Raw genomic sequence first — 25,904 nt, 5'->3', positions numbered from 1 at the left:
ATGCATAAATTGAAAGTTACTTCAGTTATGAAAATGTTTTTTTCCTGCTGTTGGTGCATAATATTGAGTAAGCCTTTTTGGTATTTTAACTGTGAGAACAGCTTAAGTACTACGAATTGAAATGAACCTGCTGAGTATAAGTAGTAACTGACTTTAATGACTTTAACAACAGGTTCATAAAACACATTAAGATATAAGTTTAAATAATGAACTCTCTGAAATCTAAGTACATACAAATTTACATGGTAGATGAGCTGCTTTAAGACTTATTCAGTTGGACACAGTTTTAAACATTGAAAATTGTGAACTAAAAACATCTATATTGAATCAAAAAGACTTCAACCTAATCTTATCCATAAGTAGGCTGAAATAATATTTTATTTGAATGAAAATCCCAAATGCCCAGGGTTTTTTTCATAACACTGAAATGTAATTCATTACTTTATTTCGTAGCTCAGATATTATTGTCCTATACATGATGCAGTTGTTTGTCCTAGAGGCATGCCCTGTCTAATACTTAGCACTGTGGTATATTAAAATAGATTGGGTAAATGAAAATTAACTACTGGTATCAGTTGGCTAGCTAGGGATGTCATTCTGTTTTACATTCCTATTTTTATAGTCATTATATAATTATCAATATTCAGCTAATGATATTGAACTTTCCCTGAGTCTCACACTTTTGTGTTGCAAAAGTGGCTTACTGCAAAGAACCACCCTTCCCCATATGACTTAGATAAGACATGTGGACTTAACGACTTTGTTTATCTGTGATAAGGCCAGACCTGGATCCTCCAAATTCTCATTTTGTCTTAGTCCACTTTATGTTGCTATAAAAAAGTTAATACAGACTGGGTAATTTATAATGAACAGAAATGTATTTGACTCCAAGTTCTGGAAGCCGGGAAGTCCAGGAGCATGGTGCCAACATCTAGCAAGGATCTTCATGCTGTGTCATCCCATGGCAGAAAGTGGAAGGGCAAAAGAGCATAAGAGTGAGCAAAAGAGGAAAAGGACTAAAGTCATCCTTTTTTTTCTTCAAGAATTCACTTCTTCAATGACCTATTCTCTCAATAACAGCATTAATCCGTTTACGAGGGCTAAGCCGTTATGATCTAATCACTTCTTACAGGTCCCACCTCTCAACACTGTTGCATTGAAGATTAAGTTTCCAACACATGAACTTTGGGGGGTCAAAATCAAACCATGGAATGCTCTTTTTCTCACAAATGATTTGCTGAACGGTTTGCCCCACTGACCAATATGGATTAAATACCCATTGACTTGATGTGATAAAATTTTAATCAAGTCTCCCCACTCCCCAGAAGCTCCTGGATCTTGACCCACCCATGAGCTTAAAGAACAAGGAACAACCCTTCCTTGACTTCCCCTCCTGAGAATCAGCTGATTACAAGACAAGATACTTCCTAACCAGCTGTGCCATCACACCATCCATTCTATGTCCCATCACACCATCCATTCTAAGTCCCCACATCTGTCCTCTCTTGCTTGTGAAAGAAAAGCCCTCTTTGCTTGACTTTTGATGCTTCAGGTCATATGGTCAGAGTGTTCTTCCTATTGCAACAGTTCCTTCCCTTATAGCAAAAATCTCCTCTTTTTGAAAAAAGTCTCCCCTTACCTAGGCCTGGATTTATTTTAATTGACATGGTTTAGGGTTTAAAAATAGAATTCAGGTGATGATTATCCAGAGACTCTGACCAACATTTGCTGTAAAATGTAGCATGTCTGCAAGTGATATCCACGTTTGTGTGATATATCTTTTATCAATGTAGAACTTTACACTTCACAAAGCCCTTGTGCCCACATTATCAGATTTTAATCCTTATTATGAACTGGAGTGAACCATGAGGGAGAACTTCCTGATACAAGGAAAGTAGTGCTTGGATGGACTTAGCCAAGGCCACAGTGATGGGGCTGGCCATTTCTTCTTCTCAGGCACACAGCTAGCCTACACCTTTCACCCACTTGCCTTGTGGAAAGATGGATGCAATTTTCCAGTCCAGCACCTACTGACTCCCATGAAATCCTTCACACTTTTTCTCTTTGTTCATAAACTGTCTAGACCCAACCAAGAATCCAGCAGAAAACCCCAAGACTTTCCAGAGCAGTGGCTTCACAAGCTGGAAGGGGTTGAATCTCTCAAATCACTGCTCAGAGGAGGGCCACCTGACTGGCGTGTTAAATTAAATCACTGAGATGTGGGGTTGTTACGGCAGTACACCTATCCTGGCTAATAAAGAGGGGCCATATATAAAGAAATAAAGAAGGGTCAGCAAAACTAATTCTGCCTGGTTTAAGTTGAAAAAAAAGTATGAACGGACATTAGAGGGCTGGAGAACCAGTCTTGAATTTATGCAACCAGGAGTAGGGCCCAAACCCCACTGCAGGATCACTCCCATGTGGTGGGCACCACTATGCCTCTGGGCATGGGTTCTGCATCTTACCCTTTATATACAGAGCCCAGATGGTCCCACGAGGAGCCCTGGCACTGCTGCCTCCCTCAGCAGAATGGAGACTGTGGCAGCTGCCTTTTCCTTCTCTGGCTGCTGAATTGAAAGTCCTTTGTAGCAGCTCTGATTGGTGGAGCCTGATCACATGGCCCCAGCTGCAGAGGGAGGCTGGGAAGGTGAGTTTCTTCCTTGAATCTGGGGAAGCACAGATTCACTAGGTGGAGAATCCCCTGAAGCATAGGAAGGATGTTCAAAGATGCTTAACTGAAAGAAGAACAAATATTCACAACAAAATTCAAGTTTACTCATGGCAATTTCACTCTGAAGTGCTCTGCAAATTGAATGTGGCAACATTGTCAAGGGATACCACCCTCAGCCACTTGAGGAATGGGCACAGGAGCTATTGGTTGAGTGACTACGTGCCAAGCACTTTCCCATTCTGTATCTCATCAACTTCTCATAAACCTGTAAGGAAGATATTATCAGCCTTCATTTTCTCATGAAGAAACAGGGGTTCACAACAATACGTGATTTGCTCAAGGTCAAACGGCTATGACTATTGAACTTTAAAGCGCACTTTCAACCAAGATGACATGAAGTCTTCATGCATCAACATGCTCTCATCAAAGCAAAACCAATGTCACAAAGAGGAATCCAGATTTTTAAAGGATTTATTTTGTGAAATTGTCCTTCAAATTCTGAAGTTAATCTTGTTTCCTCTCTCACCCCTCTCTCGCCCTCCCAGCCCTCCTCTTCAATCCAAATTCCCAGCTGCCTCCCAGTTTAGATAAAGAGAGAGCTTCTGTAAGGAGCAGAGACTTGAATACAATGAGGTTAGATTATTTGGCAGAAATATTTCGTGCTGGTGTTGTATATTCCAAAAGGAAGCCTATAATGTCTGATAGTCTCTTTGTGATGTCAGTAGCCATTAACTGTTGTTGTCTGTGCCCACTATTTTATCAGCTGTTGCAAAATGATAATGATCTGGTTCCATCATTCTTTCTCCATTTATAAACTGGAAGCCTCCTAGAAAGAGAAATTTTCCTCATCGATAGCTTGGTTGTTGTGAGACGCAGTTCATACAGGAAAGGGGAGATAAACACTTATTCTTTCCCTCTACTTACCAGTCACCCCTGAAGTTAGCTGAGTTTTTAAAATCTATGTAATTAAAAACTCGCAGATTTACACATTTTTGATTTGCTTCAATCCACTGCCATTATTATTCATACAGATGCCCCAGTTATATCATCTCTGGCCAATAGGAACCTTTTCAAATGGACTCCTAAACATATTGACACAATCCAGCTTTAAAAAAAACAGCTTCCCTATTTCCTAGTATTAGAAGATGTTTCAGAATCATTTTGTACATTTCTTGCCTAAGATGTGGAATTAGCCATTTCCTCAAAGATCCTTGTTTCTTTTAGTGGAGAATGGTATTTAGAGACCACAGTCTTATTTGTGGGCCCATTCAATGAACTGAACTACAAAATACATAATAACTTCTCTGGACAAATAAAATCCACTACGAATTCTGCTAAAGAAAAAATTCGTTCCTGACACTTGCTAAAGATGGATAAAGACTTTATTCCAGGGGGCCATGGTGACAGGTAGAAGGACCACTGCAACAGTCTTCAGATGGGACTCAACTCTGACTCCAACACGAACAGGTGGGATTTAACCAAGGAGCAGAGCGGGGCTCAGTGGATGGAAAAGAAGAGCAAACATAAAGGAAAAGGGGCTTCTGGTCCAACTGTCTCCATAGGATTCTTCCTGAAGCCAAGCCAGGATGATTAGGTATCGAGGGGGGTCAGATACCAAGGGTGGGGGATTTTTGTACACAGACTCAGCAGGATTTTTGCTCAAACCAGTTTCTACAAGGACAGAGAGGGAAACCCAAGGTCAGGCCTAGTCAGAAAGAACTCAGAGCCTGACTAGAGGCTTGGTCAGAAGAGAGTCTTCGCTAATACCCATACAACTGGTATAATGCAATTCAGAGCAATAAGGTTTTTACTTCAAATCTTCTATCTTACACCAATACCTTCCTTCTTTCACATTAAAAATTCTGCTTCCAGCCAGGTGCGGTGGCTTATGCCTGTAATCCCAGAACTTTGGCAGGCCGAGGCAGGCAAATCACTTGAGGTCAGGAGTTCGAGACCAGTCTGAGCAACATGGTGAAACCCCAACTCCACTAAAAATACAAAAATTAGCCAGGTGTGGTGGTGCATGTCTGTTATCCCAGCTACTTGGGAGGCCGAGGCACAAGAATAGCTTGAACCCGGGAGGCAGAGGTTTCAGTGAGTAGAGATCACACCACTCCACTCTAGCCCGGGCAACAGAGTGAGACTCCATCTCAAAAAAAAAAAAAAAAAAAAAAAATTATGCTTCCCAGCAGCATCACTGTAACTGCTCGTTTCCTTTACCTTGCAGCAACTCACATAACAACCTCAGAATCGTGATAGTAACACTCACTGCTGCCAACAATATGATTACTAAAAATGATTTGATTTTTTTTTCAGTGGTCAGCCTTTTATTTCTTAACCTATGTGAATCTCTTTGTTTCAGATGATCTTCTTAAATACAGCATAATTTTCTTTTTGACTTTGTTAGCCAATCTGAAACTGTTTTCATAGCTAAGTCTCTTTAGTTGCACTGATATGATTGATGTAGTTCACTTCGTATTTTTTATTATGTGGCCTCCTGTTTTATGTATTCTTTCTGATACAGCTTTCATGTTTAGGGAATATATTAGTCCAATCTTGTGTTGCTATAAAGAAATACCTGAGAGTGGGCTATTTAAAAAAAGGAGTTTGAATTGGCTCATGGTTCTGCATGGTGTACAGGAAGCCTGTTGCTGACATCCGCTTGGCTTCTGGGGAAGCCTCAGGAAGCTTACAATCGTGGCAGAAGGTGAAGGAGAAGCAGGTGCATCATGTGGTGAAACAAGGGCAAGAAAGAGAAAGGGGAGGGGGAGGTGCCACACACGTCTAAACGACCAGATCTCACAAGAACTCATTCACCATCATGAGGACAGCACCAAGAGGATGGAGCTAAACCATTCATGAGAAATCTGCTCCCTATCATCCAACCACCTCCCACCAGGCCCCACCTCCAACATCAGGGATTACATTTTAACATGAGATTCAGGCAGGGACAACAGGAGGGTTTGTGTTTTAGTCCAAAATTGACCTTTATGTGACTGCTTTTTTTTTTTTTTTTTTTTGAGATAGAGTCTCGCTTGCTCTGTTGCCCAGGCTGGTGCACTGGCACCATCCTGGCTCACTGCAACCTCTGCCTCTCAGGTTCAAGCAACCCTCCCTGCCTTAGCCTCTGGGGTAGCTGAAATTACAGGTGCCCATCACCACACCCAGCTAATTTTTGTAGTTTTAGTAGAAATGGGGTTTCATCATGTTGGCCAGGCTGGGCTCGAACTCCTGACCTCAGGTGATCTGCCCGCCTCGGCTTCCCAAAGTGCTAGGATTACAGGCGTGAGCCACTGCACCCAACCTATATGACTGCTTTTATGTAACACTCAGTCCCACTTTTTGGATCTTATCAGTTCCCTCCTTTGAGTAATCTGATCATAGCAAGTCATCTTTTCTTTCCCCTCTCTTCCCTGTTCTCTAGCATCTAATTTGAAGTACTATAATATTATTTTACTCACAGTTAATACAAGAAAGCCATGAAGTTAGCTTTTCTTCTTTCCATATACAGGCACTCTCCACCTTCCTTCTCCACAGTTTAATGGTTGGGCTGCAGAGACATTATCAGAGTGTGCAATTATTACTATACCGTCTCCCATATTCTCCCATTTAATATTAGCTTTATAGGCAAGTATGTCTCACCAGTCATTTTGATTGGTCCAAGCATGTTCTCAAGTCAATTCCTTAGGAAAGGATCGGGGGTACAATATTCCCTAAATTCTAATATGTTCATAACAGTTTGTCTGTGGCCTTTATACTTGAAGATCAGTTTGTCTAAATTCACAGTCTTTGGCCCACATTTTCTTTCCTTGGGTGTTTTAAATTTGCTACCCCTAACCTTCTGGCATAAAACATTGACATTCAAAAGTCCAATATTAGTCTTAATGTTATTTCCTTTAAAAGGGACTTGGTTGCCAGCCTCTGGTCAGTGTATAATTTTAGAAATAACACTCTGCCTGGGCAAGCTTGAGAGACTGGGGTTACATCCTTGTTTTTTTGGATTAGAGCTATGTGCGGGGCAAACTAACCCTTTCATGCCTCAGCTGTGAAAAGATACAAATATCAAACAAGATCATTGCAAGGCTTGGGATAGGTAATGTTTCTAAAGAACTCCTGTTTTCTAATGAATCCAGCTACAACAACAGATTGTTTTGCAATAGTATTTATTTTTCTGTAGAGAGAAAACAATTAAGTCTGAAGTTTTAGGAGCCACAGAAAAATAAAAATCAGCATTAGTGACTCACATTTCAATAACTTTATAAAATGATTTTGTGACTAGAAGCAGTTTCAAAAAGCATCTAGTTTAAATTTGAAGAAAAATGGCAAACCTCCCGTTTTTTTATGGTCCTTGTTTTTACTACACTTTTTTTTTGTTGGCATGGCTGTCCTCCACATTCAGAAAAGACATTTCAATTAGCCCAGTCCCTTGAGTTCTTTAAATAAGGCTGATCAAATCATCAATATTTAACCAGCTTTATCAGTTCTTTGAACAGACCCATTAACTAATGAAGATACCGTGTTAGCATAAGGAGTGACTCAACATCCAGAAGCAATTTGTTTGCCAGATTCTATCTCCCTCCGGTGATTTCTTACCGGTTATCTAAATTTCTAATCAAAGCACTCTGCTGGATGTACCCTAAGCATGCATTTCTACAATTCAGAGCAAGAATAATCTCAAAGTGTGTTGCTGGCATGTATGGTTTACCTGGCATAGAAAAGAAAAAACACATCCTAGGATCCGATTAGCAGTCACTAACAGCTCAACATAGCTTCAGATTCTGCACGAAGTAGTCTGATGACCAACGCTGGCTTTTCTGAGGCCAATGCCAGAAAAGGAGAGAAATTGCTTAATCTCCGATGGATGTTGGCAGCCCCTCCCACCACCCCATTTTTCTTTGTTTCTCCAAATAACCTTTTTAAAGTTCTCACTGAGACTAACCTTTCAAACAAGCAGAACACTGACTTGGCACATGGGTTGAAGAAAGATTGTGTCAATTGCCTTTTTTATATACTTATGCCTGCAGTCATTCATAAATAAATTCACATACTTGCCACAGCCCATATGTGAGCCTCACATTTGCGGGGATGGTCCTGGTTTCGGTGAAAGAAACTTTTGCACACTTGTTTCTTCAGTTATCCAAAGAGCCACAATGGGCTTTCTGCTCCCTCTTCAAACAGCCATTGCCCTGTGTTTTATACGCACATTTACAGGTTACAGAGACGTCCTGTATGTGTTTTCTTTGCTTGTCAAATGAAGCTTCTGACATTAAGATGCCCCAGCAAGGGATCTCTTTTTCATGAATGGAATGAACCTGTGGACACAACACCCTTCAGCCTCATACTTCCCCCCCAATGAGACTCCAGTTCCTTCACTTCCAGGAAGGCTGAGAAATGTGATTTTGGCATTTTCTCTCACCTCCAGCTTTTGCCTAATCCTTTATGGAATTCTTTATCAATTCTCATGCCAGGGCCTGACTGATACTTTGGGCATTTCTGAATACTGTCAATGTCATCAGAACAAAAACCCTACCCCTGACTGTGGCAGTTGTGGGTTGGTGGGTCTGGGCTGCAGACTCACTTTCCAGGACCGGCCCTTCTCCCAACCCCACTGCCTCCAGACAACATCTCCAGAATTAGGATGCTATGGGCAGAATGTTTGTGTCTCCTCAAAATTCAGATGCTGAAATTCTAATCTCCAATGTGATGCTATTTGGAGATGGGGACTTTGGGAAGTAATTAGGTTGCATTCAAGGGCAGAGCCTCGTGATGGGATTAATGCCCATACCAAATGAGGAGGAGACAGAGGCCTTTCTGTGTGCATGCACCAAAGAAGGCCAGGAAGAGATAATGGCCTCACATGGCCTCACATTACTACCAGAACCCAACCATGCTGGCACCCCGATCTCAGACTTCCAGCTTCCAGAACCATGAGAAGTAAACACTTGCCCAAGCCACCCAGTCTATGGTATTTCCCTGTAGCAGCACGAGCTGACTAAGACACAGGTGAGCTGGCCTTTCATTTTTTATTGTATTTTCACGAAATACATCATGAAAATCTTGTGTGCTTGGACCTCTGTCTTTTTCAAGTAAAAAAATGAGAGAAGAGAATGGGGTGAGCAGGGAGCCTTGGTTGGGAGTTGGGGAACTGGGAAGAGAGGAGGAAGCTGAACAGACTGGATAGGAAATGAAGGTAAAGTAACAAAGAGCCAAAAGTGAAGAGTGCTGGGAAGGAGGAGACACACTACCTGTGGGATGGGGAGAGACGGGAGAGAATGGGGCTTTGGAAAGCAAGGCAAGCTGATGGATTCAAATCAGCAAGGCCATTGAATTCCATTTTAGGGTACAAAAGAAGCAAAAAAAAAATGTCATTTACTATATTAAAACATAATAGAAACTCTGTGCAAGGGATGCTGGAATCCAGACTCCACCTCTAGGTCAGTGTCAGGAGAGGCCCTTCAGCCCAAGCTTCTGCCAAAGTCTCAGCTGAGAGCCTGCTGGTGTGGAATATGCAGTTAAACCAACCTCTTTATATCTGGAGGTGGAGGTAGCAGGTTACCTGTGAAGAATCACCTTAGTTGCTTCCCTTCATAAGCCTAAAGAGTGCAATAGAAGCTTCGAGGTTTTAATTGTTGTTGTTTTGTTTTCTATTGTAGAGATGGCCTTCCTTGGTACGCAGACCTCTGGGTTGGGGTTGATGAGGAACCTGCAGAGGAAAACCCAGGGCCTCCTGGGAGCCCAGGAACAGAATCTCCAGCCTCCTCTTCCTGATACTGGAAGTTGGGAAAACCTTCCGGCATAAAACCAAGCAGTGCAGGCCATGCTCTGTGGCCATCAGCATTGCCCTGCCAAGGGGGTGCCTTGACATTGTGCAACCCTCAAGACACTAGTGAGGACAGGACCAAAGACCCCAGAGACGGAGTGTCCCCCACTCCATCTATACACACCAGCCTCTCTTTGCACCTGCCCTCCTGCACCATTTCCGTGCCAGGACAGAAGGCCCTTCAGCCATCTACATGCAGCCTCCCACCTGTGACTTGAATTCCATCCCTTCGTGGCTTCTCAGGAGTCTGGCACGGTTCAGTTACCCCACCTCCCCTCTCCTCAAACCTTCCACACCTCCTACATCTTACGCTCAGCTGATGAGCTTGTCTCCCATTTTATTGAGAAAAGAGGAGCTCTAGGAAAGCTCTCCCTACCAGCATCTGACACAGGCATCATCTCTGTTTGCCCAGAATTGCATGGTGAGGTCCTTGCCTGCAATTTTCCCAAACAACCCCCACCCGGCTGCCAGAATTGCAAGGTGATGTCCTTGCCTACAGTTTTCCCAAACAATCCCCACCGGACTGCCAGAATAACACTTTCCACACTCGATTCTGATGACACTGTGGCCTGTCTAACACTCCCCAGCAGCTCCCCGCAGCGCTCAGGACTTCACATCATCAGCCCTCAAGTCCTGGCCCTCGTCCTCCTTACACTCCTCAATATGCCTTTCCTCCAGCTCTTCCTCTGCTCATCCCCCACATGCCTCGCTCTGCCTCTCTCACGGCTCTGTATACTTCCCCACACACCACCCTTGGCCTGGCACCGCTTCCCCGACGATGCTTAGTCTTTAAAATGTGGTGTATCCACGAAGCTTTCTATGATCACTTCCCCCGCTCGATTTTTTAGATGCCAATTTCCTTTGCTGTTGGAGCATCTGTGACATTTTCGACGTGTTTAGTTTCAATGTGTGAGGATGAGCAATGCAGCGTGGAGAGCCGGTGCACTGGGTGACGATACACATTCTGATCAGTTCGAAGAGGGATCTTGTAGAGTGGCAGCGCTGCACAGGCTTTCGTGGAAGCAGGAGCTGCTCTGGGTGCATCTGCTAGAGGAAGAGGTGGCAGCTCTGCTTATATGACTTGGAAAGTTCAGGCACAGCTGAAGCCAGCAGCTCGGGCAGTGCCCTCAGAGTTCTCTCTCTCTCTCTCTCTCTCTCTGTCTCTCTGTCTCTCTTTCTCTCTCTCCATCTTCCCACCCCAGCCCTGGCTATCTGTTATCTTGCTTTTCTCTGTCTTCGTTCTGTGAATAGCCTCTTCCCAGTGGCAGGAGGGCTGCCTTCAGAATCCCTGGGCTCATACTGAACTTAGCCTTCCCCAAAGAAAACAAACCTCTCCCCTGAAGTTCACAAATCACATGCAGGGCACAATTGTCATTGAATGGCCAAAAGGAGGAAGAAACTGTCTGATTTAAGTTATTTCCCCAGCATCTCTGATGTCCTACCTGATTCTATTTAGGACTCATCTTTCAAAAAGCATTTCTCGAGTGCTTGTCCCGTGCCAGGCAGCGGCTACAGCCATAGGGAGAGCAAAGGGAAGAAGCTGAGTGATCTCAGGATGGTGTGAGGATGGGACAATTTGCTGTCACAAGCTGGTGTGTGAAAGTGTGAAACTCAGGGAAACCAAGTAGCTATGGCAAAGTACGTTGGGGATCCTGTTTCCCCCAATGCTTCCTTGTCAATGGCAAAAAAAGAGAAGCAGTTATAAAAACAATTTTGTAATGAACACTTCCCCAAATAGGTAAAGAAACAGGGCACAAAGCCAAGAACCAAAGTCACAATGAGTATGGACATTGTCTGGTGCCCAGGGAGGAAAATGCCTCTTAGTAAATGCTCAAAAGGGACATGCAGCTCCATAGAGGGAACTCTGGCTGTCGGAACAGGACCCTAGGCTAAGTTGCTTAATTTTTGTAAGGACCTGAGGGAACTTCTGGGAGAGACTTTTTATTTTGAAATAATTTGAGAAGTTGCAGAAAAGTATAAAGAGTTTCCATGTACCCTTCACCCAGCTCTTTCAAAACCAAGAAATTGACATTGGTACAATACTAATGATTAAACTATAGCTCTTATTCAACTTTTACTGATTTTAATATGTATGTATACATGTGCATATGCATGTGCCTGTGTGCATGTGTGTGGGAATGCATGTATGCATGTGTGTGCATGTGTGTGGGAATGCACGTGTGCATGTGTGTGCATGCGTGTGGGAATGAATGTATGCATGTGTGTGTGTGCATGTGTGTGGGAGTGAACGTGCACGTGTGTGTGTAGAGTACTAATCAGGACACAGAGCAGTGATGAGATATTTTTGAATGGGTTGTCAATCTTAAAACAGATCTCAGCAAACAGAGAGGAAAAAGACTGGGTTCCTATCCGTCTGCCTATCAGCCTCCTGGCCAGTAAGGAATCTGAGGAGACTTAGTATTTGGCAGTGGAGGAAGGCAGATCATTTCCTACAAATCCTGGAGATGCTGGCCTCATGTCCCTGTCTGGGCCAAAGATGGCTGTAAACAGGGGTGCAAACACTAAAAGCAGGACCACAGTTGCAGGGCAAGGGTAGAGGGCATGGGTTCTAACAACTGCTATTACTCTGGCTTCAGTTCCATAGAGGAAAATGACCTCATCCATAATGGAGAAGGCAGGAAAGGTGACCCAAGGTCCATGCAGTCAGGTCATCTTGCCAACAGCACTGGCAGGCTCTCCCCACCCGGGCTGGGGAGCAGCTCTCAGGGCTGACTGGGATTCGGTGGTCTCTCTGATGCAGTGATTGTCCTCCCCAGGAAGCGGGTCAAATTCCAAGGGTAAAAATGACAATGTAAAGTTGAGGTGCTTTCTGGAGCTTTGCCTGAGACTCCATAGGCTCCTGAGGGATTTTTTTTCTTTCTTATAGACGTAAAGTTAAAAGCCCTAGAGGTCCTCCTTTTGTGAAGGAAACTGTTTTCTCCGAAGTACTGACAAAGTGTAATCATGTTTCTTCACAAAAATTGGCTGAAATCTCAACCCCAATCTAGGGCACTTTAGCAAACCATTTAAAGAAAAGAAAGCCCTGGAGGCCTGAAATGAGAAGTGATTTCATTGTGGGAAGGGGTGATCTTGTGGCTGGGGAGCTTGGGGGAACTGAATGATCAAGAACCCATCTCCCTCAGGGCCACCTAGCAGGGGCCGGCATGAAATGTTCCTGAGCCGGCCAGCAGGCTAGGCCCCGTGATGGAGTGCTGGAGTCAGTCTCTGGTCTAATAAGGAGGTTGCTTTGATTCTTCCCCTAAAAGTTTTGGGCTCAAAACATCTTCCATTTCCTGGAGGATGGTTCTGGGAGACCTCTAAAGTCATCATCACCAGCCACTGTAAATTCTATCATCCTCATCAACTATGGCATTGAGAATAGGCGATAAAGGGAGAATGAATGGGTATTTATTAAGTCCCTGCTGTGTACCAAGCTATATCTATCTATCGATAGATAGATATATCTATCGATAGATAGATATAGGCACTATATCTATCATCATACTGTGACCTTCTCATAAAGCTGAATGAGCGACCTTATCCCCATTCCTGACCCAAGCCACCAGAGGCTCAGTGTATGTGCGTGCCCAATGTCTCTCAGCTAGAAAGTAAGAGGAACAGAACTTGAACCTGGTCTTTCTGACTCCAAAGTCTGTGTGTTGTCTCTCTCTGGGTACTAGCTCCCGATAAGCCACTTTAGGTCATCAGATGGCAAAAGGAAGGTGTCAGATGTGGGGAGTGAGTGAGACTCCCTCAGATCACTGCTTTTGATTTTTCTCACACTCACCTATGTTTCCTCCCCAAACCCCTTCTTTTCTCTATGCACTGGACAAGGGCAGGTAGGTGGGTGCTCATCTCCTCTGCTCAGGCTTCAGTTGTAGCCAGAGGAGCCTCTTCTCAGCCTCACCCTGTGTGCCCAAGGGCCCCCTCTCCTTGCTCCTGGTCCTTCTTTCCTCCTCTGAGCTCCCAGATTTCCAGTGACCTTCAGATTTGATAGATGGAATGCCCCCAACGGATGCTCCCATTGACATTGAGCATGCTGCTGTGTGGAGCTCAGCAATAAAAGGGGGGAAATTAACAGGCATTTAAATTCTAAAATTAATGATGAGAGGTCAGAGTCTACAGAACATCTGTTTCCAGCATTTTCAAGGGGGCCTTCAATTTGCAGCCAGCACTCAGCCGTGTGTGGTTATCAGCAGTTAATTGTGACTCGGCACGGCTCTGTGACTAGGAGCAGGGAGCTGGCAGTGTGATGTAGCCCTGCATTCGCTGCTTTGTGGCTGGCTGTGAACGGTGTGTCCGCTGCATCTTGGGATCACAGTCTGTGGGTTGGTTTCCAAGTACCTGTCTAGAAAACCTGAGTCTGTGTTTTCCTAAGTATAAAAGTTCTGGGAAACTGAGTGTTCAAAAAGAAGCCCTGTGCTGAAGAAAGGGACCAGATACTTTCTAGAGTGGCACTATCCAATATGGCGGCCTCCAGCACCTGCGGCTGCTGAGTGTCTGAAACAGGTTCCTCTGAGATGTGCCACACATGTACAGTCACACATATTGAAGCCAGTTGAGATGGCTCGCACCTGTAATTCCAGCACTTTGGGAGGCCAAGGTGGGAGAATTGCTTGAGGCCAGGAGTTTGAGGCCAGCCTGGACAATATAACGACACTCTGTTTCTACAAAAAATAAAAAATTAGCCAGTATAGTGTGGGATGTGCCTGTAGTCCCAGCTACTCAGGAGGCTGAGGTGGGAGGATTTCTTGAGCCCAGGAGGTCGAGGCTGCAGTGAACTATGATGGCACCACTGCACTCCAGCCTGGGCAACAGAGGGAGACCCTGACCCCTCCCCCCACAAAAAATAGACACTGGATTTCAAAGACAGTACAAAAAATGTAAAATATCTTTAATGATGTTTTATATTGATTATGTGTATGAAATGAAAGAATTTTGGATATATGGGGTTACATAAATTATATTATTAAAGTTAATTTCAATGGTTTCATTTATTTTATTTTATTTCTTTTTTAGACACCTTTGCTTCAGAGCTTCCTTAGCTTGGTGTTTCTCTAAGGGGGGCAGTTACCACTCCTAAAAGACCCTCTGGAAAATCTGAGGGACTCTTTGCCACATTGATTGGAGGAGGTGCTACCACATAGAGTGCGTTGGGCATGAAGAACGTGGAAGTCCCACATTGGCCAGAGCGAAGCAGTCCAGCACAACAAAAGAATTATCCCATGACCTGCATCATTTTGAATGTCCCAACAGACATTAGATAGGTGAAAAATTAGTTATAATAATCTGAGTCTCACAGTCCCTGTCTGGGCCCCAGGTGGCTGTAAAACAGGGGTGCAAACTCCATTGGACATATAAACACAAAGCTTTTTGGTTTTTGGTTTTTTTGCACAAGCTAAGATTTCCAGGGATGCAACAACTCTGTAAATCAAAGAAAGATTTATAGTTTGTTTTATTTGGATGATTACCAAGGTTGTTAATCATTATGAAATTCACAGCAATGTTGGCAATGCTGCTCATGGTATTTGAGTTGCCAACATAACACGTGACCATCACATTCACTATAATTCCACTGAGAGGTGCTAACTTCTGTCTACTTCACTACACTAGTGTGGTTATGCTTGAGCGATTGCATATGGAGATGCAGATTATTTTACTGAAACTACTTTCCTTTTGTTTCCCCTTTATATTACAATTGGGATTTTATACTGGTTTTTAAAAATTATGTATATAGGTAGATTATACTACTGAAAAGGAGCCTTAACAAAATATTTTTACATAGCAACATCAACTACAAATACATATATATATATATATATATATATATATATATATATATATATATCTCACAGAGAAGGGCATGTTGTAGTTAATAGAATTACAAACCATCACTTGAACACATTCATACACCTCTTGACTCCAAAGAGTCTATTCTTCGCCTCTTAAACACCTTCTCATTCTTTAGGTTTCGCTGCAGCTGTTCTTCCTCCAAATAGCTCTGTGCTTCCTATGCTCTGTACTTCCACATCACTCCATCCCTTATCATATGGGCAGCAATTGCCTGTGCAACTAACATCTTCTTCCCTTGAAGGAAGGACTCCTTCTTGTGGGCTCTGAGAGAGCAGGAGCTATGTACAACTGCTCATTACTACACACCCAGTGCCCTGCACGTGGCGGAGCACACTAGTCCATGCTCAGCACTTGGTGAGTCAATGAATTACAGAGCGCTGTAAGGGCAGGTGGGACTGTGGGCCAGCAGCTGGGTAGAGGTGGCTGACAGTTTCAAGGGAGATCAGTGCCTTGGGCTTCGGTAAAATGGAGAGCCCAGAGTGGTATGGAATAATGTACTTTGGAGTCAGGCAGATTTAGTGTCGAATTCCAGTTCTACTATTCACTACCTTGGTGATTTTAGGAAAGGTCATTACCATCTCTGAGGGAAGAAGAACAATGGTGCTTCTCTCATCTGGTGGAGGTAGGGGTTACCTGAGAATTGCTTGGCAAGCATTTACCACAGCGTCTGGCAAATCAGAGCTCAAGGAATGTTAGCTGCTTATATCAGTCTGGGTTCTCCAGAGAAACAGAAACAACAGGCGATGGAGCCTTTATACAAAGGGATTTATCGTAAGGCATTGGCTCGCAGGGCTTTGGAGGCTTGCAAGTCCCAGGATCTGCAGTCAGCAAGATGAAGGCCCAGGAGAGCCGGTGGTGTCAGTTTCAGTCCAAGCCCAAAGGCCTGAGAAGCAGGAGAGCCAGTGGTATAAGTCTTAGTCTGAGTTCAAGTCTAAAGGCAGGAGAAGATCGATGTCCCAGCTCAAAGACAGTCAAGCAGAGAGAGCAAATTCTCTTTCTCCACCTTTTGGTCTCTTTAGGCCTTCAACAGATTAGACTAGGCCCATTCCTATCATAAAAGCAATCTGCTTTACTCAGTGGTTACCTGCCATTGAAGATTGTACCTTTATGGTATGGTGATTGGGAATGGGGCTGGGATCTGAGCCCACCTCACCCCACAGCTCCTAATCTTTCCGTGACTTCATGCTGCCTCCTTTGGGGGTCATGAAATTGTCCTGTCATCTTCTGTGGAAATTAGCAGGATTGTCTGGAAAGGGCCTGGGGACTCTTCCCTGGTTGCCTCCCCTGAGCTGGCTGGTACTAGAAGCTCCTCTTTCCACAGCAGGATGGACCGATCCAACTTCCCCCAAGGTCTGCAGATGTGGGCACTGCCTTTCCCAACCATGGCTGTAAACAGCTGGTGCCAAAGCTCAGATAGATCATTTGGTGCCTTCATGTAGACACTTTTTGCCCTGAGCTTCAAGTTCATTCTTATGCTTATTCCATGAACAAGGAAACCACTGGGCAAGAAGATCCCCCTGCTGACCAGCACGTCCAGCTCCCCTGGACCCAACTGCGCCTCTCCCAGGCTCTCAAGAGAGGTGGGTATGCACAAAGACCAAGGCTTCTGCTAACAGGTCCAGTCTGTACCAAGTCTGTATCACTGAGCCTGTTGCGTGGCCTCTTTACCTCATCACCCTCACTTTTAGATGGCACTTTACAGTTTACTTTCATACACATTTCTTGCGTCATCTGCTTGATTTAGCTACCACCAGTGGGCCAATTTCTGCTGGCTGCGTGTTTTTGTTATTGGAACACACCCAACTCTATTCTTTGATGCATTGTCTGTGGTGGCTTTCCCTAATAGGGCATAGTTGAGTAGTTGCTACAAAGACTGTTATGGCCTGCAAAGCTTAGAATATTTACTATCTGGCCCCTTGCAGAAAAAGTCTGCTGGCATCCTCTAAACAACCCCATGAGGCAAATGCAATTGTTTTCATTATTTCCATGTTATAGGTGGAAAATAAATGGATGAAACCAAGCGGCTCAGAGACCCTAAATGTTTTCTTAAGGACGCAGAACTGGTCAGTAGAGCCAAACTGAAAGCCAAATTCTTTTCTGTCCATGGAAGAATTTATATTGAAGAGACAGAAACATAGGGAGGGGCCCCAGAGGGTGGTTCTTTGAGAATGCCTTTTAGAACCAGTAAACTTGTCTTGGAGAAAATAACAGAAGCAAGTCTCTGATTTTCACTTTACTTTACTTATTTATCATTATTATTATTTTTAGAGACAGGCCTCTGCTGCCCAGGTTGGAACGCAGTGGTATAATAATGGTTCATGGCTCACTATAGGCTCCACCTCCCAAGCTCAAAAGATCCCCCATCCTCAGCCTCCTGAGTAGCTGCAATTACAGGTGCACAGGTGCACACCACCACATCTGGCTAATTAACAAAATTTTTTTTGTAGAGATGAGGTCTGGTTATGTTGCCCAGGCTGGTCTCAAACTCCTGGCCTCAAGTGATGCTCTCGTCTCCCAAAGTGCTGGGATTACAGGCATGAGCCACTGTGCCTGGCTGGTTCCTGCTTTTTAAAACATGGTGGATGGCCAGCACTTAGCCCCTGGATGGAGGGAATCAGCCCTGAACACATGGCTGAAGGGTTTTAAATGCTAATCAAAAGGATCTATAATATCCAGAGTTGATATTTTATTTACTTTCTCTCCTCTAATTCCAAAAGCAAACACTCAGACAACCCCTAGGTACGCAAGAAATAAATGTGAAACAGATGCGTAAGGGAGCCGTGAGCTCCCAGGTGAAGCCAAGGAAGCAAACTTCTAAGAGGCAGCAGCTGTTCTCATATAAGATCATCTCCCCTCTCCTGCCCAGCCCCTTACCACACACACAGAATGGGATTAGCAAAGGCACCGTAGGCACGACTGTCATTTCCTCACACTGTCTAGGACCAGATATGCTTCTCATGGGCTGCTCAGGTGTCCATTCATGTTTATAATACAGACACATGGAGGCTTTTGCTTCTCATAAGAACTCTGGCCAGGTGTGGTGGCCCACACCTGTAATCCCAACACTTCGGGAGGCCAAGACAAGAGGATGGCTTGAGCCCAGGAGTTCAAAACCAACCAGGGCAACATAGTGAGACCCCAGCTCTACAAAAAAATAAGAAAATTAGCCAGGCATGGTGGTGCATGCCTGTGGTCCCAGACACTTTGGAGGCTGAGGTGGGAGGATCGCTTGAACACAGGAGGTTGAGGGTAGAGTGAGCCATAACCATGCCACTGCACTCCAGGCTCTAAATAAATAAATACATACATAAATGGAACTCGTCATTTACTAACAATATTTAGTAGCAGCCAGACATCACCTCCTGGTGGCTTTATCTGGGACAGTCTCACTTTTCCTACTTGCCCTGGGGAGTTTAGAATGGTGAAGAGCCAGAGAGCCCACAGGAGACTTTGCTCTATCTTGGAAATCCAGAGCCTGTGGAGCCCTGAGCAGGCAAGTTCAACATTGTATAGACTGAGAGGCCCCTGGGGACAGGGGGTGAGGCAGGGGCCGGGTAGCCCTCAGTCCTGAGGCAAGAATTTGAAGCAGGAGAGGCTTGGAAGAGAAAAAGAAGGCAAGGCTTAGATGAGAAGGTGAGGCCAACAAGGAAGGCAGAAGACTGACAGTGAAAGTCAGCTGTCAGGGTGGTGAGAGGCAGCAGCACTAGCAGCAGAGCCGCAGCATCACACAACTCCAGGGGCCAGGTGCATAGTTGCATCTGTAAATGGCTCCTCCTAGTTGTGCAGTGCACAGCCTGTGCATCCATACATGACAGCTCTGAGAAACACCAATGCTCAAAAACTTTTAGAAATGGATTTTGTAAACATAAGGTTGAATCAAGGGTAATAAGTGTATGTGTATATATATATATATATATATATATATATGCGTGGGCCTTTGTGTCAAGAGGAATGAAAGAAGCAGAATAAACATAAAATAAAATGAGCATCTCCAGGCTTTTTGTGCTGAACTGCATTATTAATGATCAAGGCCTTGCCTGGGAGACAGCAATCTAATAGAGGGTTTAAGAAAATATTTGCGTGAGCAGGTCAAAAGTGTGGAATGAGAAAGAGACCCATTTGAGACCCAGGTTTCTCCCTGGCACCTATGGTTCTTTTCCCCTCTCAACAAGTACCTGGAGACAGGCCTGTATTTTCCCAGCCAGCCTCACTCTTTACCTCCACATCAATATTTTCCATCAAATTGCAACCAATACCCTTAAAAACAAGATGTTATCAGCTGTAGCCGATTTCATTTTTTAAGTTTTTCAACTTAGAAAACAATGGGACACCAGGTTTGCTGGGAGACACAGTGGAGAGAGGTTCTCAAACTTCAGTGTGCTCAGAGTCCCCTGGAGGGTTTGGGGACACATTGATGGCTGGGCCGCACCCCAAAGCTTCAGTTTCTGTAAGTCTGGGGGCGGGGCCCAGGAATTTGCATTTCTAAAAATTTCCTAGGTCATGCTGATACTGTTGGTCCCGGGACCACACTCTGAGAACTACTGAATGATAGAATAGTAAGTTTAACAGCAGAGAATTTGGAGTCAGCCTGCCAGAGTGTAAAGCCTGGTCCCACCTCTGCTATCCCTGTGGCTTGGAGCAAGTTACTCAAACTCCACACCCTTTTCATCATCTATAAAATGGTGATTTTACTGAGACTAAATTAGTTAATGAAACTCACAGAGCACAATCCATAGTATGTAGTAAGTAACACATTCCTTTCTCCCCTCCTCATTGAAAGATGGGGAAGGATGAAGAGGGTGAACAGGGAGCAGCGAAACAAGTGGAGGGGAAAGTGGGCAGACAGGCAGGGCCAGGCGGTGGCCGGGGACCCCTCAGGCTTGTGTCTGCATGGGGGGCTGTGGGCTGCCCTGGCTGTCACCCCACGGCCCACTCGCAAACTGCCCACTGGCAGTTGAGTGTCTGCATTCCCACCGCCTGGGAGAATATGAAGAAAATGGAGGTGGTGGGCAATGGCACGTTTTATCTGCTAGGCGCTGCCACATGTGCTATCTCATTTGGTCCTCTCAACAGTCCTGTGAGTTAGACCTTATGGATGATGAAACCAGAGCTTCTGAAGGTCGAGTGGCTTAGCTTATGGTCAGGAAGCGAAGGTACCTGTGGCTCCAATGCAGCAGCTCCAACCAGGCACCTTACCAGCATGGCTGGCCAGCACCTCAGCTAGATTCCCTTTCCCTTTCATTTTCTTCTAGAGGCTGGTGTTAGACTCAATGGTCAGTGCTATTCCTGGGAAAGGGGCCCGGGCAGAGGATAGCTGAAGGAGTCCCTCTCCATCAGAGACAGTCTTAGGACTTGGCAAGCTAGCTGCTGCTCCAGCATTTCAAAAAAAGGCTAAGAGAACAAGTACAGGGTGGTCTCCTGTCTCTGTGCTTGATCTGCAACTTGCTTTTTTGTTTTTGTTTTTGTTTTTGAGATGAAGTCTCATTCTGTCACCCAGACTGGAGTGCAGTGGTGCGATCTCGGCTCATTGCAACCTCCTCCTCCTGGGTTCAACTGATTCTCAAGTGATTCTCCTGCCTCAGTCTCCCGAGTAGCTGGGATTACAGGTGCGCACTGCCATACCTGGCTAATTTTTGTATTTTTTTTTAGTAGAGACGGGGTTTCTCCATGTTGGCCAGACTGGTCTTGAACTCCTGACCTCAAGTGATCCGCCCATCTTGGCCTCCCAAAGTGCTGGGATTACAGGCATAAGCCACCGCGCCTTGCTGCTTTATTTTTTATTTACTTATTTATTTTTGGTTCAACATTATAATCTGTCAGTATTAACTATAGATCTACATGGATCCAGTTCACACCTTTTCATTTTTTAAATTTTTCTTTCTTTTTGAGACAGTGTCTTGCTTTGTTGACCAAGCTGGAGTGCAGTGGTGTGATCATGACTCACTGCAGCCTCGACCTCCCGGGCTCAAGCCATCCTCCCACCTAACTCCCGAATAACTGGCACCACATGCGTTCACCATCATAACTGGCTAATTTTTTGATTTTTTTGTACAGATGGGATCTCACTATGTTACCCATGCTGGTCTCAAATTCCTGAGCTCAAACCATCTTCCTGCCTTGGCCTCCCAAAGTGTTGAGATTACAGGTGTCAGCCACTATGCCTCGCCATTACCTTTTTAAAATTATTTATTGCTTATTTTTATTTTTAGAGCCAGGGTCTCACTCTGTTGCCTAGACTGGAGTGCAGTGGTGTGTTCATAGCTCACAGAAACCTTGGACTCCTAGGTTTAAGCGATTCTTCCTGCCTCAAACTCATGAGTACCTAGGACTACAGGTACATGCCACCATGCCCGGCTAAGTTTTTAAAAAGAATTTTTGGTAGAGATGGAGTCTCACTATGCTGCCCAGGTTGGTCTCAAACTCCTGGCCCCAAAGGATCCTCCTGCCCCAGCCTCCCAAAGTGTTGGGATTACAGGTGTGACCCACCACACCCAGCTGTGTGCATGGTCCGGAGTGGGAGGTCTCTGCTCACAAAGTGCTGAAGGAACAGATGCAGGGCTAACCTGAGAGCACTTAGTGCACATAGGAGCAAAGGCAGTGGGGCTGAGGCTCACTGTCAGTGTCAGGAAAGATGAAGGGTCGGGGAGGGTGGCAGCTACAGGGTCAGGGAGGCTGAAGTGGCGATTTCAGGTTATCATTGGGCCATGGAAGCCTGCCTAGTGAGTGTAAGGGGCAGGGAGGTGATGGTTCTCATCTTCATTTGTCTCCTCTCTCCCTGTTTTGTCATTGCTTAGACCAGTGACCACCTGACATTTGACCCTTCCTCCCGTGAACTAGCCTGAGGGCAGCCCTGGTGCACAACAGGCTGGAGGTCAGACAGGCTGGGCTGCCCTGTTCCCGGGCACACTCTCCTACCACCTCTTTTGCTTGGTACCCTTAGAGGGGATAAACGTTCAGAATATCAGAGAAAGCCCTTTGAAATTTTCTGTGTTCCTGGATACCTGCCATCCGGTATGTTCTAATTATCTCTCTTTCTGTTCAGGGAAAGGTGTTGTTTACTTGCCAATCTGATTTCAAACCAAGTAACATCATCAGAGGGATTTGAAATGCCCACAGCCACAAAAGCTGTCACAGTGAATTTCTTTCTGAACCAGTCAACCCAGAGTGTGACTCCAAGGAAAGGTGGAAATTGCAGCTGGGTGACAGCTAAATACAACACAAATGTGTCACAGACCTCATAAGCTCAGGGAGAGTGACAGAAACAGGCTGAAAATTAATATGTCATACACACATCCTGGCTTGTCTGTTTGTCTGATTTAACCACATTTATGCTTTTATCAGCACTAGATAATCTCCAGCCACTAAATGGTCTTTTTGGGATTTTGAATGTCTTTAAAATGAACATTTCTGCAGTTTCCCTTACAGATAAGAAGAGCTGGAAAATGCTTTGGGATGTGATTTGAAAGATGCTGAAATACACCCCTATCCCAATCTTATTCCTTGCCACCATGCCTAACATTCCCCCAGTCAAAGGCACTTATTTGGAAAGCAACATTTGAGTTCAGAGGGCATCTGCTAATATCAGATACATTACCCCAAAGAGGCGGCAGGTTGAACAGTTAGCAAACAACTCTCCCTCCATCTATCTTTCCCATTCTTCCTCCTTCAATATTATAAGTGACCACCATGTACTACCTCAGACTTCTTTTTTTTTTCTGAGACGGAGTCTCGCTCTGTTGCCCAGGCTGGAGTGCAGTGGCGCAATCTCGGCTCACTGCAAGCTCCGCCTCCCGGGTTCACACCATTCTCCTGCCTCAGCCTCCCTAGTAGCTGGGACTACAGGCACCCACCACCATGCCTGGCTAATTTTCTGTATTTTTAGTACAGACAGGATTTCATTGTGTTAGCCACGATGGTCTCGATCTCCTGACCTCGTGATCCACCCGCCTCGGCCTCCCAAAGTGCTGGGTTTACAGGCGTGAGCCACCGTGCCCGGCCTACCTCAGACTTCTTAACCAGGGGCTCCAGACTGGGGCTGCAGTGCTTCCATGATGTGGCCTGTCATTTAGTGTGTGTGTTATATGCATATATGCCTCTAGAGGGGCATCCCTAATTTTCACTGTATTTTCAAGGGGGTCCATGAGTTCCCACTGTGTAAGTTTCATTAAATTAGCTGTACTAATGTTGTCAATTTAGAAGGTTGGCCCAGGACCCTAAAAAAGAGGGAGTTTGGAGGGCTTCATGGCAGACCTTGATCACATTTGAGCCACTTTTTGATCGTGCCCAAAGATCCCCTCTTACTTCCACATCTGCCCTCCTTTTCATCCTCCCTCCAACACTACGTATACACTCTCTGCAGAATAATAATGCAGAATAAGCAGCTCTAATCTGAATATCTGAAACCCTAAATCCTTCAAAATCTGAAACTTTTTGAACACCAACACGATGCCACAAGTGGGAAAGTCCACACCTGACCTCATGTGACAGGTCACAGTCAAAACACAGGCGCACAACACACAGTTTATTCAGCATCCCCAAGGGGAAAAAGACACCCCAGCTCCTTTTAGTCTGGATGTATCTTTTCCACGCATGCTCAGATTCCCCATGCAAGCACACCCACAAAGTGTCATAAAATGGCATGTGTGCAGGCCAGATGCAACGATAGCATGCAGCCCATGATGCCCTACATGGGACAAAGATCTATGTGCATTACGCACTGTGCTGTTTTGCTTATTCTCTGCTCTGTGGTATAAGGATATTGTTGAAAATGTTAAAAAGGCCTGCATATATCCCTATGGGGAATGCAGATAAGAAAAAAAAGGATGCATCTATGTTTATCTATAGCACAGAAAGTCAAGCTGTTGGAGAAATTGGACAGCAGTGTAAGCGTAAAACATCTTACAGAAGATTATGGCGTTGGAATGACCACCATGAAACAGAAGGATAAACGAAGTTCTATGCTGAAAGTGATGAACAGACGTTAATTAAAACAGAGAAATAATGCATAAAGCTGAAAATGGAGATCTTGATCATGTATTAAAGGAACGCATTCATCAGTGTTGCAGTGAACACGTGTAACATGATGGTATGCCGATCGTGAAACAAGCAAAGATCTATCACAATAAACTAAAGGTTGAAGGGAACTGTGAGTATTTAACAGGCTGGTTGCAGAAATTTGAGAAAAGATACAGCATTAAGTTTTTAAGGACTCATGGTGCTAAAGCATCTACTGATCACAAAGCAGCGGAGAAACTCATTGACAAGGCTGCCAAGGTCATTGCTGATGAAAACTTGACGCCAGAACAACTCTCCAATGCTGATGAAATATCACTGTTTGGGCATTACAGCCCCCAAAAGACACTGACTACAGCTGATGAGACAGTCCCTATAGGAATTCAGATGCCAAGGACAGAATAACTGAGCTGGGATGTGCTAATGCAGCAGGCACACATTAAGTGTCATCTTGCTGTGGTAGGCAAGCTTGCATCCTCACTGTTTTCATGGACTCAATTTCTTGCCAGTCTAATATAATGCTAATAAAAAAGACCTGCATCACCAGGGACATCTTTTCTGGTTAATTTCACAAACATTTTGTACCAGTGGCTCATGCTCAACTACGGGGAACCTAGATTAGATGACAATGGCAAGATTTTGTTATTCCTTGGCAACTGTTCTGCTCATCCTCCAGCTGAAAATTCTCATCAAAAATAATGTTGATGCCATGTACTTTCCACTAAATGTGACTTCATTAATTCAGCCATGTGACCAGTGTAACCTTAGATCTATGAAGAGTAAACATAAGAACCCTTTCTTGAACAGCATGCTAGCAGCAGTGAACAGAGGTATGGGTGTGGAAGCTTTTTCAAAAAGAGTTTAGCATGAAAGATGCCTATATCCTGTTACCAGTGCTTGGAACACAGTGACTCAAGACACAGTGGTGCGTACCTGAGTCACAGTCTCAGACCTGCGACTGTGTTCAGTGATGGTGATGAATAAGATGGTGACTTTGAAGGATTCCATATGTCATGTGAGAGAAAAATGATGTCTGCCTTCCTTATGCATGCGAAAAAGTTTCCTTTAGAATCCATCAGTAAGCTGGAGGAAGTGAATATTGAAGAAGTTTTTAACCTCTATCATCGGGGTCCAGTTGTTCATTCATTCACCATTGGTGAAATAGCCTAAATGGTTCTGAATCAAGGAGATCATGACAATAGTGATGATGAAGATGAAGTTGTTAGTACTACACAAAAAGTGCCGACCGACAGCAGGGTGAAAATGTGCAATGAGCTTATTGCAGGACTAGAGCAGCATGCATTTATAACAGAACAGAAAATCGTGTCAGTTTATAAAATCAAAGAGACACTTTTAAGACAAAAATTATTGTTAATGAGGCCGATGACTCTGGAGGTGACATTTAAAGAAGCCATCCAGCAGAATGCCTTGTCAACCCTAGAGGACCCACTTTCTGGTCCCTCAACTGCTTCTGATGTTTCTTCTCACCTGAAAAAAAAAATAGAGTTTGCAGTTGCCTTTTAATCAAAATACAGCATCATAGGTGGA

General features: G+C 44.5%; 1 long non-coding RNA gene across 2 annotated transcripts, besides 3 other annotated features; it reads right to left on the bottom strand.

Moving 5' to 3' along the window:
- Positions 1-3,344: 3,344 nt before the first annotated feature.
- On the bottom strand, positions 3,345-13,392 carry LOC105370191 (uncharacterized). Of its 2 annotated transcripts, none has more exons than XR_941938.3 (3): positions 13,279-13,392; positions 6,133-6,221; positions 3,345-3,497 (listed from the first exon to the last, which is right to left on the bottom strand). It is a non-coding gene; the product is annotated as an uncharacterized LOC105370191 (long non-coding RNA). The 2 variants fall into 2 exon arrangements; XR_007063782.1 differs by lacking the exon at positions 3,345-3,497 and adding an exon at positions 4,196-4,342.
- Positions 19,693-19,742: an enhancer, noted in NCBI's record as "active region_7683". NCBI's record gives its function as "activates an Ori minimal core promoter by ATAC-STARR-seq in GM12878 lymphoblastoid cells {active_cell/tissue: GM12878}" and the evidence as "EXISTENCE:reporter gene assay evidence [ECO:0000049][PMID:35858748]".
- Positions 19,752-20,259: an enhancer, noted in NCBI's record as "H3K4me1 hESC enhancer chr13:46497944-46498451 (GRCh37/hg19 assembly coordinates)". NCBI's record gives its function as "activates a minimal SCP1, AML or CMV promoter by ChIP-STARR-seq in naive H9 embryonic stem cells {active_cell/tissue: H9 hESC(naive)}" and the evidence as "EXISTENCE:reporter gene assay evidence [ECO:0000049][PMID:30033119]".
- Positions 20,260-20,768: an enhancer, noted in NCBI's record as "H3K4me1 hESC enhancer chr13:46497435-46497943 (GRCh37/hg19 assembly coordinates)". NCBI's record gives its function as "activates a minimal SCP1, AML or CMV promoter by ChIP-STARR-seq in naive H9 embryonic stem cells {active_cell/tissue: H9 hESC(naive)}" and the evidence as "EXISTENCE:reporter gene assay evidence [ECO:0000049][PMID:30033119]".

This window comes from Homo sapiens, chromosome 13 (genome assembly GCF_000001405.40).
Source record: "Homo sapiens chromosome 13, GRCh38.p14 Primary Assembly".
NCBI lineage: Eukaryota > Metazoa > Chordata > Mammalia > Primates > Hominidae > Homo > Homo sapiens.
The sequence above is the reverse complement of the archived record's forward strand: the minus strand, read 5'-3'. Positions and strand labels throughout refer to the sequence as shown.